Consider the following 18828-nt stretch of genomic DNA (forward strand, 5'->3'; position numbering starts at 1 on the left):
GAACTAACTATGGATAACTTAAGCAATAGACAAAATGTACTGGAAGGCAGTGCGGTCAGTTGTAAATCTGGAAGAGAAGCCCTACACCTAAGCTATGAGAAGGACAGGGCCCAGGGCAGCTTCAGGGAATCTGTCTGGGTGCAGGATTCACTAGGCAGTGTCTCCAGAGCCCCATGGCCAGGATGAATCCACCTATAACCCCTCCAGTGTTTTTGGGAGAGTGTCTGATAGGCCAAGCTTGGGTCCTGTACTCTTCTCTCAGCCCAGGCAGCTTGAGGCAACCTATGTGACATCTCATGAAGATTGTACACAAAGGGAAGAGGCAGTTTCTTGTCCCCAGAAGTAGGGTGATGGGATGCTGGGCAGGTAAGAACAATAGATATCCACTTTAGCTGCAAGGTAGATACTGCCTCCTGCTGTCTAAAATCAAAATACAAAGAGCTAAACAAACAACAAAATGCTTAAATCACCACTTTTGCTTACTGTGAACCTTAGGGAAATCATTTAATCTCTGTTTTGTCTTCTACAAAATGAAGAACTTGAATTTAATGACATAACTTCCTTTTCATTCTAGCATCATATTTATATATTTCCTTATGTTTTAAAAGGGTCTTTGAACGCTTGTTCACATATACTTAATTTTTTGCCTGGATTGTGGATTCTCCTCTCATTTGATCTATTCTTGGAATGGCTTCCTAAGGCTGCAGGATAGTTCCGAATTTCGGGATATTGATCTGCTTTTAGGGTATGTGTGGGAAGGATAATTTTTATCAGTAAGAAAGTAAATTTCAATTGTTCATCTCCCTATAGAGAAAGCCATTCATGGGTGTTGGGAGTGTGGAGAAGGAGGAAGAAAGAGAAGGCTGAAACAGCAAAGCCCTTGCCAGCTCCGTGTTCTGCTAAAAGGTTAAACCTTGCATAGAGAGTGCTTCACCCAGAGAAACACAGTGGGTTTCTACGTGTGGAAAGGGAGGACCTGAGCTGAAGGACATCAGGAAAATGAGTTTCTGGGGAAGTGAGAAGGAGTGGGGTTTAAAGACAAGAGGAGTTGGGAGACAGGTGGCAAGAGGCTGCAGCCTGCAGAAGCAGGTGGCCAATGAGAAATTCCTGATCGGGGATAAGTAAAGGATTTGGGCTGGGTGCGGTGGCTCACACCTGCAATCCTAGCACTTTGGGAGGCTGAGGCTGGTGGATCACTTGAGGTCAGGAGTTCAAGACCAGCCTGGCCAATAGGGTGAAACCCCATCTCTACTAAAAATACAAAAATTAGCCAGGGATGGTGGCATGTGCCTATAATCCCAGCTACTTGGGAGGCTGAGGCAGGAGAATCGCTTGAACCCACGAGGCGGTGGTTGCAGTGAGCCGAGATCGCGTGCCACTGTACACCAGCCTGGGTAACAATGACACTGCCTCCAAAAAAAAAAAAAAGGATTTGAAGGATGGGGATAATATCCATAATATCCAATTTTAGTTTTGTTCAATTTCATGACCCTTGCACAGTAGAAAATTCCACTATTTATGCAAATCTCCAGCAACATCTACATTCTCATTAAAGCCTGTAGCACTGGTCTGTAGAAAGTTAAAGAGAACAGGGTGAGACCAACATCTGCGTTGGCATGGGGAAAAGGGAAGGGAACCTAGAGAGTGGCTGCAGCAGGAGAGGTTGCAGGAAAATCAGGAGGTGAGGGGCAGGTAGGAACTTGGAGCTGGAAGTGACCGTGAGGTGGTAAGTCTTAAGTTGTTGGAAATTCTCAGACATTTGTGGGAAGAATTGGACTTTCCAGAGGACTCAGTGTGAGAGCACGGGCCACAAAGGTAAGGGGAAATTAGTGTAACTTTGGGCCACACTAATGAACAATAAAGAGGTGGAGCTCCCACCTTCCCTCTTGGGTGGAAGGGTGAGGTGCTGCGGAAGACCTCAAAATAGTGTGGTGGGATTCTTTTTTTGTCTTAGTCTTTCGTTTCATTGTATAGTATGTCTTCACAGAAAGAGTGCTCCAAACTATAAATAAATTTACCATGGAATAAACATTTTATTTATTTGTGTATGTAACATTTATTGACATCTACCCACTGCAAGTATAGATGAATAAGACACAGTCACACCATAAAGGAGTTTATCCTTAAAAGGAGTGAAAGACATTCAAAAACCAACTGCAATAAAAAAGGGTGACATAATTGCTAAATGGAGTGGAGGAACAGTGCTTATCAATTCTGATTGTGCAACAATGATATACAATCCAATGAATGAATGAATGGATGTTCTGCCTGAAGTTTCTATTTCTTTCTTGAATTACTTCTCTTTCCTATTGAGAGAAAAAAAAAGAACATTCTGATATGTAGAAAATGCATAAAAACCATCCTAAGATTATACAGGCAAAGGAAATGTCACAGAAAGTATAATCTATTATTCACTCAGACCATTTCTTGTCCCTGGGACAAAGATTCTGAAGAACAACCTCCAGAGGCTAAGAAGGCAGGATTGACTGGAGTGTGGGCCCAGGGCTCAGGTACCTTTGCATCTTGTTTCTACCAGTTTACTAGATGTGTGACCTTAGGTAGTTTACTACTTAACCTCTCTTAGCATCAGATTACAAATCTGTAAAATGTGGATAATAATGTCTCATTGAATTCTTGAATTAAATGAGTTAATCCATGTGAAGTCTTGGGATACTGCAAGTACTCAATGCATGTTAGCTATTATTTATTTATTTTTTGAGATGGAGTCTCACTCTGTTGCCCAGGCTGGATTGCAGCGGTGTGATCTTGACTCACTGCAACCTCTGCCTCCTGGGTTCCGGCAATTCTCATGCTTCAGCCTCCTGAGTTGCTGGGACTACAGACATGCACCTTCACGCCCGGCTAATTTTTGTATTTTTAGTAGACATGGGGTTTTACCATGTTGTCCAGGTCTCGAGCTCCTGGCCTCAAGCGATCCCCAACCACCTTGGCCTCCCGAAGTGCTGGGTAAAGGCGTGAGCCACCGCGCCCAGCCAGCTATTATTTTTATCATTCTGAGTATAGCATTAGGAATCTTGTATCTTAATCACTTTCTTTGGAATCTATGTTTTCTGCTCATATTACTTTTTAGATTAACTCCCTACATATACAGCCCACATAATTAAATTCTATTTCCATTTGTCCAGAAGTTACTTGTTTCCAACTCTGACCAGAGATGCCCTTTTGTCTAATACTTAAGGTTTTAATGCACTAGTCTCTTTTCTTCCTGTTAAATTTAATCAGCATGCCTCAGACCTTCTTTAGTCTCTTTGTATTTTTCTTAGGGTTCTAAAATATTTATAGACTGCTATAGAATATTCCATGAGTTCCACAGTTTTATGTAAGGGGAGGATAGTATTTTCAGTTTTGTTCATGATAACTTTACGAACAATAGTCAGCATTTTGTGAATCTTTTGGACAGCAGTGGTTCTTTACGTCGTAACTTTTGGGAATAGTTACACAGCATTTTCCAAAGTGTGTTCTCTGAAGTGCTAGTTTATGGGACTCATTGAGACCCATAAAAAGGATTATAATTTAGGAAACACTGAGTTAAACATTTGTTCAATACTCCATACTCTCTAATAGTCTATACACCTGAAATACAGTAGGTAGTGTTTCTTGAACTTATTTCTCCATAGCCTCCTTTTCTGGGAATCACCCTGTAGGACTAGTGTTCTGAGAATACAGTTTGGGACATGCTGATTTATAGCAAATGCTAGGTTGAACTGATATCTTAAATCCAGTGTCTTACTGGAATATTTCTCCCCTGAGGACAGTCCTCTATTATGTGGAAGCACTTTCATTGCTCACGTGATCATTTGAAGAATCTTAAGTGATCTTTTTGCAGTGTATTCTCTTCATCCTGATATTTTTACTGGCTAGGTTTAGTTATATCTGCTGATTTAAAGATGTCATTCTGTATTCTTTTATTCTTACTAGGATAAAAAGCTTACTGGGTAGTGATAGGCAGGAATATGTCGTAGAAAAAGTATGAAGTCACATAGCCCTCACTTGGAATCATGGCTCAAGCACTCGACAGTCACATGACCTTGGACAGTCCACTTAGCCTCTTTGAATCTTACTTTCCTTATCTTTATCCAGAGACAGAGCTTTTTATTCTTGTCCTTTGATTTCTTTCTCAAATACTACTTTTGGCTGACTCAATACAGTAAATCCAAATCAGTGCACTTAAAAAAACTGAATTTGGAACTTGATTAAACCAAAAAAGCATAGACTGGGGCAAGGGATATACATAAGTATCAAGACCAGGAATGATAAGCAGTTTCTGTCCGTGGTTAACCGCTTTCTCTACATGTACGTGCAAACAGGAAGAGCAGGGTCACTTATAATTATCTAGGATTGAATCCTTAGGAGTGGGCAGCTATGAAGAAAGGTGTTTTGTCCCTTCAGTCCACCCCTACAGGGGACACTCTCCTAAACTATTTAAACTGAGAGAGGAAGAGCAGTGGGTGGCAGCTTGAAGAAAATCTGGACAATATCATTTGCATAATTTTACCACATGATACTATGTTACTGAAACTCACAATCAACATCTTCATAGTATATTACAGCCTAGTTATATTTTAAGTATCTAAGGTCCCCAATTCCTCCCCTCAATAGGCTTTTTGATATGAGTTCCAGTGTGGTTTTCCAGGTAAATACCCATTTCCCAGCCTTTCTTTTCCTACCCCACTCTAAAAAGAAAATGGGAAATCCTCTTATTTGAAATAATAAATATTACCATATAGTTTCTGAATGCCTTTAATATCATCCTGGGAAAGTTTAAAATTTTGGGGATCTCCATTTCCATAGGTTGGATACATCACTGCATTAGGATCAGAGGAATGTCCCATACCCAAAGAATGGCCAAGTTCATGAGTTGCAGCATACAGGAAGTTAATCCCTACAACCGAAGAAGTGACAAACAGTAATGATAAAAATAGCTACATACATTATGTAATATTATATATATGATATCATAATTTAAAAAAACTAAAGAAAAATACCCAAGTTTTAGCCCACGGTAGCTTACTTATTTGTTTCTAGGCTTTCAAAAGTGGAGAGGGGTTAGAAGGTTAATCAGAATAGGAGTGCTTTAATCTCATCACTACTTCTGCTTATTAAAAATGTGTAATTTTTTTTATTTGCTTCTTTCATTCAGGCAGCAATACTCTGCAGTGGAAAGCAAAGGTTTTAAAAGCACTAAGACCTAGGTTTGAAATGTAGCTCCACTACTTACTAGCTGGACAACTCTGGACAGATTAATTGATGTTGCTGAGTCTCAGTTTCTCATCTGTTAAACAGAGACAGTAATTTCTGCCCTCTAGATTTGTCATGATAGCTAGAGTTTCTCAATATTTGGGAAGTCACGGCCATTCAATAAATGTTAGTGACTTTGGATATCAGAAGAGAGAATGGTGGCTTTGAGAAAGCGAAGATTGAAAGGCAGGGTCTCTAGGCAATGCTGGGCTTTGTTTTTGATTTTGATTCATTAACTTGTATTACATATATCCTTTGTTCTCCCTCATACTCATTGAAAGGCTTTGCAAGTATGTGGAAGGTGTGAGCCCGTGCGTTTGAGGAGTGGCCTGAGCTCTGGTGGCGTTGCATTGAATTGAAGGAAGCTGCCTTTAACCTACCTTAAGTGGGAAGAAAGAAGAATGAAAAGAATATGCCAGATGCAAATGGGAGGCAGCATCACAATTTAACATAGATTTTCACAGCAAGACAGCAAGCTATGGTGAATTCCTTTTGCCAAACACAAGTACAAATTTCCCTTTTAGGGCCAGTTGGTAGCCTTAAAAAAATTGTCTCTAATTGGGATTATTTATGCCAGAGCTCTTCTCCATTAGTTCTCTCATGTGCCTATAATATCCTACTATGTAAAATGATAAATATGATATACTAAATCATGGAGTTGGTTCTTTCTGGAAAATAGTGAATAATTCCAGAATTGCATATACTTCTCAAATATCATAGTTTCTACTTCTCTTTCTTTTCCATTTGGGGCATGTATTTTTTGGAAATATGAAGAAAGAGCTATAATTTAATTAATTATTAATACATTCCAAGCACTGTATAAGCATTATCTCATTTAATTTAAAGACTCCTTGATGTGGGAACTATTTATATTTCCATTCCACAGAGGAGGAAACTGAGGCTCAGAGAAATTCAATAACTTGCCCAATGACACAGAGTAATTGGTAGACGTACAGCAAATTGGATCAGTGGTGCTTGACTCCATAGCCTGAGTGTCCATCTTCTGTGTGTAGCATTATGAGTATATTACATGAAATAATGCATTTCAGGCATATAGTACAGTGTTTGGCACTTAGCAAGGGCTCAATACTTATTATAAATTAATATAATTATTTAACTTAGTGTAAGTCCAGGATTTTAAAACGGATGTGGAGTAGAAGAGACATGAGATGCTATACCTAGACTGCTACCATCCGTCCAGCGTTCATCCTCATCGAAGTGAGCATCTCCTCCGAGACCTGTCCCAGGCGCAAAGGCATGAGCCAGCGTGTTTCCTGGCCCATCAAATGGGTAGGAGTCCCCATGAGCTGAAAGAAAATGGAGTGATTGTTCTTAGTGACTGATTTTTTTTTTCTCCAGTCATTTTATTTTTCAGTTTATACGATTATTGAGGCTAGAAAAAGCAGCCCAGTCCAGGCCAGGCATGGTGGCTCACTTTGCGAGGCCGAGGTGGGCGGATCACCTGAGGTCAGGAGTTTGAGACCTGTCTGGCTAACATGGTGAAACCCCGTCTCTACTAAAAATACAAAAATTTGGACATGGTGGCACATGCCACCAAGTAGTAATCCCAGCTACTTGGGAGGCTGAGGCTGGAGAATTGCTTGAACTCAGGAGGCGGAAGTTGCAGTGAGCTGAGATCGCGCCACTGCACTCCAGCCTGGGTGACAACAGTGAAACTCCATCTCAAAAAATAAATTAAAAAAAAAAAAAAGGCAGCCCAGTGCAAGTAGCTGACATTGTTATGTGCTGTCGGTTGCACTCACAGGGTAGTTTGGGTGCTTTCTTGGCCCAGACACTTTTCCTTTCACAGAACCATTGCTCATCACTGATAATCACCATATATTGAAAGCTTACTGGATACAGGACTTAAAATGCAGTTATATCTAACTTAAGGTTGCATTTAAGCTTTTGTTAAATTTGACCACTTTGCTCGGCCAAAGGGTGGTGGGAGGGAGAATGAATATGAATACCACATTTGGCAAGTAATTTGTGCACCATTTCATAGGTTTTTTTTTTTTTTTTTCTTAAAAACCTAGCTTATTCTTCGTGGGCATAGTAAATAGTCTCTTAGAGAGCCATGCTCAAGATCTCTTAAAATGGCTTTTTATAGTCCTTTAATGTGTGATGCAGAGCTGGTTATCTTCGAGGTGATATGAGGCCAGTCCAGTTTATCTAGCTCTTAAAAAACTTGTAGTGCCATGATTAGTGCTTTCCCATAACATTTTCTTCGGTGTTGTCAATATTGTGGGTTGAAGTTCAAATTTCAGCTACAGTAGCCGGACCATTCCACATAGAACAGACTGAAATGGGCAACATTTTTCTCTAAATTTGCACCATGAAACACTAGCAATTAAGAACAATTTATGTATATGGGTTTTATATATACATATATACACACACACACATATATAACACATATACTAAAAAAATGGGTTTTACATATAGAAAAACCCACGTAAAAAAAAAAAATATATATATATATATTTTTTTTTTTTCTTTTGAGACATAGTCTTGCTCTGTTGCCCAGGCTGGAATACAGTGGTGTGACCTTGGCTCATTGCAACCTCTGCCTCCCAGGTTCAAGCGATTCTCATGCTTCAGCCTCCCAAGCAGCTGGAATTACAGGCATGCGTCACCATGCTCAGCTAATTTTTGTTTTAGTAGAGATGGGGTTTCACCCTATTGGCCAGGCTGGTCTTGAACTCCTGACCGCAGATGATCCACCTGCCTTGGCCTCCCGAAGTGCTGGGATTACAGGCGTGAGCCACCACACCCTGCTGTGTTATATATTTTTAAGTTCTTTAATATGAAAGTTTCCATTTCCTACTTCCTTGCCACATGAAAGGCATTAGCAACAGGTCATATACCACTTCTCAGGGGACTCTTGAGGCCTTTGGAAGCTGCGACTCTTTCTGTTGATTTAATATCGATGTTAGGTAGATATATTGTAAACATATAGTCATGTGCTACATAATGATCTTTCAGTAAACAGATCACATATACAATGGTCCTATAAGATTATAATGGAGCTGAAAAATTCCTATAGCCTAGTGATATAGTAGTTGTGATAATGTCATAGCTCAATACATTACCTTTTCAATGTTTAAATACGTTTAGACACACAAATACTTGCCACTGTGTTACAGTTGCCTACCGTATTCAGTATAGTAACATGCTGTATAGATTTACAGCCTAGGAGCAATAGGCTATACTATGTAGCCTAGGTGGATAGTGGGCTGTATCACCTGGGTTTGTGTAAGTGTATTCTATGATGTTAGCACAGTGACAAGATTGCCAAAGTTCTCATTCTCAGAGTGTATTCCCATTGTTAAGCAGTGCATGACTGTATATATAAATAATAATTCACGTTACAAAACAGGGGTTGGCAAACTTTTTCTGTAAAGGGTCAGATAACAAGTGTTTAAGCTTTGTGATCTCTGTCACAGTTGCAGCCTGAGCCCAAACAGTCATAGGTAATAGGGAAATGAAGGAGCCTGACTGTGTTCCAGTAAAACTTTATTTACAAAAACAGAAGGTGGGCTGGATTTGGCTCATGCATCATAGTTTGCCAACTGCTGCTATAAAAAGTGGCTCTATATTACCAGATTATAAAAATTATAATAATATTGCTAAATCTATCTATTAACTATCTATCTACCAATCATATCTCATTAAAGGATTTTAATCTTCATAAGAAAAGAGCACTGATATAAACCATGAACAAACAAAACAGGACACAGGATTAGCCTACAGGAATCTTTCTTACCTCCTCGCGCAAAGCCAATCATGATGTCAGCAGTTCCCCATACAACTTTCCTGAAATGCAGGGGGATCTCTTTGCCCCACATGTTTAAAGCCTTTGACACTAATCGATCCACTGTAATATGCGGTAAGTCTCGAGTATATGATACGATCCTAGTAGCAAACAAGAAAACAATGTTTGACCCCTAGGAAACAGGCTTTATTGTTTTTGCCAAAATGAGCCAGAGCAAAACTAACCTGTAGGTGACCACTTTGGAAGTCCATTTTGGGCTATTTGGAAATAGTGAGTATTCTGCAACATCTGGCACTCCACATCTGGGCTTCTGCATTATTTCTATGACGCGGGAGTTTAACATTCCAGTTATAGGTAGGCCAAAGAATTTTTGCATCTCCTTGAGTTTGGCTTCTAAACTGTTGGCATTTTTTGTTTCTGAGTCATAGAGATAAAATCTCTTGAGATAGTCCTATTGAAAAGAGAGTAATTAATCTATAGTTCTTGTTTATTATATTCTTTTATCTTAGAAGCCTATATATCTCTTGCCTTTGGTTCCTGTGAATTCAAATAATGATTTGAAGACAGAATAATTACATAGTCACAGAGAAAAATAAGTGTGCATTAGTGAGGAGAAAATTTAATATTGCTAATGAAGCACTGGCGTGCCATTTCGTGAGCAAAAGAAAAGAATCCCTCAATTTTTAAAAAATCCATTTAAATGTTTTGGGGAGAATTACACTGTACACTTTATAAAGCCTAGAAGTGTGTAAGAGCAATCAGGAAGCATGTACCAGTCTGTCCTCAGGGGTACGACTGGGACATTCTCTGTGTTATCATAGACCCTGTGGGGGAGATCTGAGGTCAACCAGCCCTATCTAAAGTCCAGCTGAGATGCGGTTCCAGCTAAAAGTTAAAGGGTCTTAAAATTTTAGCTCTGGGAAAAGATATTAGGAAATTATTAAATAGTTCAATTTAATAATCCGGTGAAGGAACCAAAGCTTATAGCAACTAAATGATTTATGTGCCCAGGTTCACACCTTAAATTAGTAGCAGAACTGGACTTGACTTTCCTGACTCCTAGGTCCTCTTTTCCCTCTTTCTGCTCATTCCATTCCCAGCCCTTCTTTCTGCTGTTAAATCTCTAGTCAAACCCACTTTGGGAGATTGCAGTATACAGTAGGACTCCCAGGTTTATTCCATGCAAGGTTGGATTCCTGGGAATTTCTCTAAAGTTTCTCAGTATCTGAATATGAGGATAGGAATCCAGCAGCACAAATACAACAACAACAAAAGTGAATGAACTAACAACAATAGCAACCTCACAGGAACATTTTTAAGCACTTACTAGAGCCAGGCACTTACATATTTATTTTATGTAAACCTCATAACCACTCTATGAAACAAGTATGGCATTGTTATCCCTATTTTATACATGAAGAAACACAGCTCAGAGAAGTGAAATAAATTGCACAAGATCACCTTGTGAGTAACTGAAGGAACCAGTATTTGAACTCAAGTGTTCTGACTTCTATACATTAGAAACATGTGTAGGGTTATATGATGCCTGATAATATTGTTGTTAAAATGATTTAAACATTGGCTCACTAATTTGCAGTTTATTTGGAGTAGATGGTAATGGTTACCTGTCTTAGGACCGCCCAGGAATATGCAATTTATGTAAGAAATCTTATTAATATTGTGTCTTTTTTTCCTGTTACCAACAATTGTCTCATTAAATACAACAAATACTTATTGTTCATCCATGACAATTGATAACTGATCCTTTATTTAAAAACAAATAACCCATTTAATCCCTTCTAGAGCTACAGACTTTACCAAGACACCCTCTGGAAGAAATCTCTCTGCTTTGTTGAGATGACTTTTCCTGTTTTTTTGTTAAACCTAGCTAACATCCCTCCAAGTGAAGACTAAGTTTCTGCCAACCTTCACTCTAAGTAAAGAAACTAAACGCAGAGTACTCTTTCTGGAGAATTCATTAGGTGGAACCATATAAAACTACTGTTTTGGAGATTTTAAAAGTTAAATACTAGTAACTTTATGTGGTTCAATCTAACTTATTATAACTGGAACTTTTTAAAAGTCTAAGTTAATGTGAATTAAAAATTGACTTTTCTTATGCTTAAGGCCTAAATTTACAAATAATAGTTATAAGTAATCATCCCATTAGTTAACCAAATAATAATTAGTAGACTGCTTATATTTATTAGACTGCTTATTAAGAAGCATATTGCAAGGAACATGATTTTTGAACCAGAAGCACTTGTCCTTGATTTCTATCTCTACCACTAATAAGTACACTAATCAGTTTAACTTTGGTTTCCTCTTTTTATAGAACTAAGGATTAAATGACACAATGTCTATATAAGTACTTTATAATCTACAATTGTTACATACATGCTAGTTGGTTTTGTTATCACCTCATTTACTTACTAGAATACCCCATGAGGTATAAAACACATAATATTATTTTTTCTACTGGACACATGAGAAAACAAAGTCAGATGTTAATGCCTTGTCTATTGTCATTGACTTGTTGGAGAGTTGTAATTTCTACCCATGTTTTCTGACTTCAGATATCTCCATTACAAACAGTATTGTAAATACACAAACAGTATATTTACAGGTTGTATCTTAAGAGGCAATATTCTGTATACTATAGAAAAAGAATCTCAAGTTATAATAAATAAAAATAAGAACTTAATTTAAACAATGTTTCAGGTATTGTGTTGAATGCTTCACAACACCCTCATTTGGTTGATACCATTCTTATCTCCAACTTCCAAATTGGAAACCTGAAGCTTAGAGAAGTTTGATGACCTTCCTGAGTCTATCTACATAGTGAGTGGAGGGTTGGAACTCAAGCCCGATTTGAGCAGATTCTGAAACCTGCTTTTAATGGCTACTTGATGAAAACATATATTGCTTTTATAATCCGAAGAACCACCCCAAAGAAAATTCCACTGCAATGCTAACATGGGAAGGGAAATAATTGAAAAACACATTTCTTAATGCAGATGGCAAAAGAATGGAACCCTAAGTAAGTGGGCTGTGACATACCTGAGCCTGTTCCCACTGTAGCTCACTCATGCCTCCCGCCTCCTGAGGCAGCGGCAGGGCCAGGCTGCCAGGCAGCAGGCACACAGCACACAGCACGGTGAGTCGCATAGCTGCCGTCCAGAGACAATTGTTCTTGGACCTATGGTTGATTTGGTGTTTTCTGCTAGTGACTGCAGAAATTTATATAGCTTCTCAGCCTCGAATGTGGAAATAGGTGACTCATTTGAGTGTTTTCTTTCTTTTTAGAGTCTACAGAACTTTGAAAGTATGTGTTATTTTTCATTAACTAAAACGAGGAAGTATTACATCGTTATTGGCAGGAAGCACACAATGTATTTGTCTTTCAAAGGATTTTTTTTTCTGTCTGCTGCATAAATTGACTCCATGAGAAACCTCATTTTTTTGCCAAAGTCAAATGACTGCTCTCATAGGTATCATTCAGGACATTATGGTACCATATATTCTTAAAGAATAATATATATTCTTAAATATATATTCTTATTATATGGTACCATGTATTCTTAAATACATGGTACCATATATTCTTAACAATTAAAAGGTTTGGAAAAGTGCACAAAACATGTAAATAATGAAATAATAATTAAGCAAATACTGTAACCGTCACCAAAGTCAAGAAATAGAACATCACCAAAATCCTGTGGTTCTCCATACAGGGGAAAGATGGCAGGAGGCAGATGGAAATGCTGCTGTGTGGCTGGATTAGTGGCCACTCTATATACAACTGTGCTGTGTCCCCTCACCTTCCACGTCCCTTAGCAGAGCAGTGATAATTCCCTTCTTTGGGTCTCCTTTTAATCAGTTTATGTCTTTTCTTAATGGGGAACACTGCCTCTAATTCTTCTTGAATTAAACACAAAAAAATACCAAGCCAACAAAAATCTACAAGCACGGGTTTAACTCTTCATCTGGCTTACTTATTCTGCTTCTCATTTTATAGTAACAGATTCTTCCAAGGCTAGACCTTCAACTTGGAGATCCAATTTTTTTCTTCCAATCACTCTGACTCTGGCTGCTGCCCAGCTACAGGTAGGGCTGCATTGGTCCTTAGTACACAAAATGGTTATTCTACGTATAGCAGTAAGAATCCATTACCTACAGATTCTAGCCCAATGACTCCATTCTTACCAAAAATGAAAGTGAGGCCAAGATGATAATTTAACTTATTATACTTCTCCCAGCTCACACAGATAGTAGCTCAGTGCTTTTTCTATCCCACTGCACTGCCTATTCATTTTGTAATAGGTCTGTCTCTTTTATTATATTATACATTACTTGGGAGAACACCATGGCTTTTGACTCTAATACATCATGGGAAACACTCCAAATATGCTGGAGCTAAAAAATTTAATTAATCACATATCACTTCAATTACATGGTAATTGAGCACTGTGAGCCAGCAAAGGTAAAATTTTCAGATCAGTTAATTAAATTTGCTCTCTTTACAGAGATGTCTTGATTCTGTACGGTCACAGTTTAACTAGAGTAATTGGTATCCTTAGTCAGAGTTTGACATGTGATAAGGTGCACCATAAATATTTGTAGAATAATGAATATTTATGAACTTTACTTGAATAAGCTAAAAATGGAATTATATCACGTTTTTGGTAATATTTGCATTGAATTAAAATCAAAAGGCATTTCCTCAAGTGAATGAGCACACAAGCCACAAATTGGGTGAAAATGAATGCAAAGACACATCCATGGCCAGGCGCGGTGGCTCACGCCTGTAATCCTAGGACTTTGGAAAGCTGAGGCCAGTGGATTGCCTGAGGTCAGGAGTTTGAGACAAGCCTGGGAAACATGGCAAAACCCTGTTTCTAATAAAAATACAACAATTAGCCAAACATGGTGATGCGTGCCTGTAGTCCTAGCTACTCAGGAGGCTGAGGCACGAGAACTGCTTGAACCTCAGAGGCAGAGGTTGCAGTGAGCTGAGATCACTCCACTGCACTCCAGCCTGGGTGACAGAGGGAGACTCTCTCTCTCTCTCAAAAAAAAAAAAAAAAAAAAAAAGACATATCCAATAAAGGACTGTTATCCAAAATATACAAGTATCTTTTAAAACTCAACAATAAAAACACAAACAATCTGATTTTAAAGATGGGCCAAAAACCTTAACAGTCATCTTACCAAAAAAGATATACAGATAGTGAATAAGCATATGAAAATATTCTTCACATCATATGTCATTGGGGAAATGCAAATCAAAACAGTAATGAGATACCACTACTTACCAATTAGAAAGGCCAAAATCCAGAACGCTGACAGTGGCAATTGCAGGATGTTTTAGTGGAAATGAAAAATGGTACAGCCACCTTGGAAGACAGTTTGATGGTTTCTTTCAAAATGAAACATACTTTTACAATATGATTCAGCAATGGTGCTCCTTGGTGTTTACCTAAAGGAGATAAAAATAAATGTTTACACAAAAACATACATATAGATGTTTATAGTAGCTTTATCCATAATTGCCCAAACTTGGAAACAACCAAGATGTCGTTCAGTAGGTGAATGAATACATGTACTGCGGGACATCCAGGCAATGAAATATTATTCAGTGCTAAAAAGAAATGAGCTGTGAAACCATGAATAAACATGGAAGAATCTTAAATGCATGTTATTAAGTGAAAGAAGCAATCTGCGGGGCTACTTAGTGTATGATTCGAACTATGTAACATTCTGGAAAAGGCAAAAATAGGTAAAAATATCAGTAGTTGTGTGGGCTGGACGTGGGATAGGCAGGATGAATAGGCAAAGCACAGAGAATTTCTGGGGCAGTGCATCTACTCTGTACAATACTGTAATGGTGGATTCATGTCATTTTGCATTTGTCCAAACACATAGAATGTACAACATCAAGAGTGAACACAAATGCAATGGACTTTGGGTGATTATGATGTGTCAGTGTAGGTTCATCAATTGTAACAAATATAGGCTGGGCACGGTGGCTCACGCCTGTAATCCCTGCACTTTGGGAGGCCGGGGCAGGCGGATCACCTGAGGTCAGGAGTTTGAGGCCAGTCTGGCCAACATGGTGAAACCCTGTCTCTACTAAAAGTACAAAAATCATCCAGGTGTTGTGGCAGGTGCGTGTAATCCCAGCTGCTCAGGAGGCTGAGGCAGGAGAATCACCTGAACCCAGGAGGTGGAGATTGGAGTGAGCCGAGATCACGCCACTGCACTCTAGCCTGGGCAATACAGTGAGACTCTGTCTCAAAAAAACAAAACAAAACAAAAAAAATACACACACACACAGAAACAAATGTACCTCTCTGGTGAGGGATGTTGATAATGGGGGAGGCTATGCATGTGTGGGGGCAGGAGGTATATGGGACATCTCCGTACTTTCCTTTCAATTTTGCTGTGAACTTAAAACTGCTTTAAAAAAATAAAGTCTTAAAAAAGGTATTTTCTAGATTTTGTATTTTACATTTCTGTTTACTTTTAGCAATTCAAAGAGCATTAGAAATTACAAACACTTTAAATTAATTTTAGTGACTTCCTTCAATATTCACTCTTGAATAAGGAGAAAGAAATCTCTTGTTCATCTAAATTGTAATTAGGAAAAAAGACCCAGTGGAATCAAGTCCCAGTTCCAGCCTTTAGAAGCTCGTGCTCTAGGGTGGCAATATCGGGAGGTAAATACTTTTAAAACAAAATGACACTCGCTTATAATATGCAAAGCTACCAAAGAGAAGGGAACAGTTAATCCTTCTTGTGGGAACTGAGGAGTAATCCATACAAGAGGTGGCATTTTGGCTGGATTTTGGAGGGTAAATAGGAGTTCCCTTGGAAAAGGGCATTCCAGGAAGAAGACATGGGAAAAGAGCATGGATACAGTAGAGCGAGCAGTCAATGTGGCTGTGGTCCGGGATGGTGAGTGGTTGGAAAAGCAGGTGGGGGTCAAGTTGTTGAGAGCGAGCCTCGTGTGCCAGGGAGTTTGGACTTTATCCCAAGGGCATCAGGGAATGTTTTAAAGGAAGAAAGCAGCATGATGAGATTTGAAATGCTGTAAGAAAATGCTACTGGTGGTTGTAAAGACAGATTGTGGAAGATGAGATGATGCCCTCTAGAGGGATACTGGAGAGGCAGATAGACCAAGCAAAAAGTTATGACAATAATCCAGGTGAGACAGGGGGAAGATGAGTCCCTAAACTAAGATTGTGACCATAGTGATGAAAAAGAGGAAGGAAATCCAAGACGTATGTAGAAGGTAGGATTGATAAAAACAAAACAAAACAAAACCAAAACTGGGGAGATGATTGGCTGCAGGAATGAGAAGAAAATCAAGGATGATCTGAGCCTAATAGACTTGGTGGGTGGTCAAGCTGTTAATATGGAAACATGGCTTATAGGAAAAGAAACTAGGAGTTGATTTTGTGAGGGAAACAGATGTGGTCGTGGGAAAGTAAAGACATCATGGACATCCTGGACATCGGGTTCAAGGTTTCAGCTGGAAATTGGGTCTGGAGCTAATGAGAGTGATCTGGTCCATAGGTTATGAGTGACTTATTTTTAAGGAAGGAAACTATGTTTTCTTAACTGGTAAAATATACATCATATAAAATTTACCACTTTAACCATTTTAAGTGTACAATTGAGTTTCATTAAGTACATTTACAACGTTATATAATTATCACCAATATCCATTTCGAGAGCTATTTTGCCATCCCAAAGAGAAACTCTGTATCCATTAACGAATAGCTCTCTTCTCCCCTCTCCCTCCAGACTAGTAATCTCTACTCTGCTCTGTCTCTATCAATCTGACTATTCCAGGTACATCCTATAAATGTCAACATACAATAGTTGTCCTTTTGTGTATGGATTATTTCACTTAGCACAATGTTTTCAAGATTTACTCATGTTGTAGTAGCATTTATCAGAATTTCACTCTTTTTTAATGGCTACATAATATTCCATTGTATGGATATAGCATATTTTGTTTATTCATTCATCTATCCATGGGCACTTAGGTAGTTTTCAGCTTTTGGCTGCTCTGCACAATTGTGCAATGATCATTGGTGTACAAATACCTGTTTGAATTTTTGTTTTCAGTTACTTTGCGTATACACCTGGGAGTAGAATTGCTGGGTCATATGGTAATTCTAGGTTTAACTTTTTGAGGAGCCACTAAACTGGTTTCTATAGTGGCTATACCCTTTTGCATTCCCACCAGCAATGTACTAGGATTTCAATTTCTCTGTATCCTCTGTATTCAAAATAACATTTGTTATTTTTTATCTTATTTTTAATTTTTAAAATGATCATGGCCATCTAAGTAGGCACGAAGTGGTATCTCATGGTTGTTTTCATTTGTATTTCCCTAGTGACTAATGGATAATGCTGCACATCTTTTCACATGGTTGTTGTGCATTGTATATCCTTGGAGAAAGGTCTATTCAAGTCATTTGCTTATAGTTTTAATTGGGTTATTTGTCTTTTTTTTGAGTTGTAGGAGTTCCTTATATATTCTGGATATCAAACCTTTATCAGATATGTGATTTGCAAACATTTTGCAAATTTCTGTGGGTTGTCTTTCACTTTCTTGATAATGTCTTTTGAGGCACAAAGGTTTCTAATTTTGATGAAGTCCAATTTATCTATTTTTTTCCTTGGTTGCTCATGCGTTTGGTGTCACATCTAAGAATCAACTGCCAAATCCAAGGTCACGAAGATTTATTTCTACATTTTCTCCTAAGAGTTTTATGGTTTTAGCTATTATATTTAGGTCATTGTTCCAGATGCTTTGATTCTGATAGCTTTCCTTTTCATACCTTTGATTTCTTCTTGCTGTAGTGTGATTTTCTGCTTTGGTGATCTGAGCAGACTGACTTAACTTGTAATTATGTTAAAGGAGAGTTATTCAGCCCCGGTTAGATTCCTTCTGTGTTACAGTGACTGAATATTTAACCTTTATGAAATTCAACTTCCTTATCCGAAAAATGGAAATAGTACTTTTCCTTAGGGTTGTGGTGAGGATTAAATGAGAAGATTAAGTGTATAAAAGACTTAGCAGTGTTTTTGAAGCACAGTAAAAGCTCAGTAAATGCTGGCTAGTATTGATGTCATTGTTGTCATTATTATGCTGAAAGTTTGTATGTAATATAATATCATTTTTCCCCATCTGTGAACCTAGCGTGGAGATCAGACATGTATAAAGGAAAGATACAAGGTTTAAATGATTCTGTTCCAATAATTTTTATTGATGCCAATGTTTTCTGAGACACAAGGAAGTAACTATCTTAAATATTTCAATGTGATTTGTTATAATAATCAACCAAACTAATCTCCTTACTATAGAAGCTATTAAGCTTTTAAACAAGAAAAGCACATCGTCTTTATGTCAATAAAATCTTTGGGTGTACAGTATGAACAATGGAACAAATTCACGGGAAAAAGTCACGAAAATTGAAATAGGGTAAATCAGATAGGAAAAGTAACAGGATTTTAATTTCAAATGGAAACATTTTATATTCAACAGCAGGATTTATGCAGAGAAAGGGAAGGTGGTGGAGCACCTTAGTGGACACACCTGTTGATATGGGTGGCCCTCCCTCTATTTGGGTGAGGGGCAAATAACAAGGTGACATCTAAGCCTTTTGCAAGGCAAGTGTGAACTGCTGCAGCAACATTGCCTCTCAGTGCAGCTGCCATTGCCCTGGGGCTCATGCATCAGTGGATGGAAAGTTCTAGAACTACAGGAAGAAGGAGCA

The 18828-nt window shown here is 38.4% G+C and overlaps 1 protein-coding gene across 1 annotated transcript; it reads right to left on the reverse strand.

Annotated features, from left to right (window-relative positions):
- Positions 1–2009: 2009 nt before the first annotated feature.
- MMP7 (matrix metallopeptidase 7) lies at positions 2010–12249 on the reverse strand. The gene is made up of 6 exons (NM_002423.5): positions 12095–12249; positions 9259–9485; positions 9026–9174; positions 6438–6566; positions 4742–4903; positions 2010–2306 (listed from the first exon to the last, which is right to left on the reverse strand). The coding sequence occupies exons 1-6, from the start codon at positions 12200–12202 to the stop codon at positions 2278–2280; spliced, it is 804 nt and encodes a 267-aa protein (NP_002414.1). The 5' UTR covers positions 12203–12249; the 3' UTR covers positions 2010–2277.
- Positions 12250–18828: the final 6579 nt, after the last annotated feature.

Source organism: Homo sapiens, chromosome 11 (assembly GCF_000001405.40).
Source record: "Homo sapiens chromosome 11, GRCh38.p14 Primary Assembly".
In the NCBI taxonomy this organism is placed as follows: Eukaryota; Metazoa; Chordata; class Mammalia; order Primates; family Hominidae; genus Homo; species Homo sapiens.

Excerpts from the sequence above, each read along its gene's own strand:
- MMP7 (NM_002423.5), bottom strand. The coding sequence starts at position 12,202 with ATGCGACTCACCGTGCTGTGTGCTGTGTGCCTGCTGCCTGGCAGCCTG. Across the intron at positions 9,486-12,094 it reads TACAGTGGGAACAGGCTCAG|GACTATCTCAAGAGATTTTA; the intron begins GTATGTCACAGC and ends TCTTTTCAATAG. Across the intron at positions 2,307-4,741 it reads AGGCATTCAGAAACTATATG|GAAAGAGAAGTAATTCAAGA; the intron begins GTAATATTTATT and ends TTCTCTCAATAG.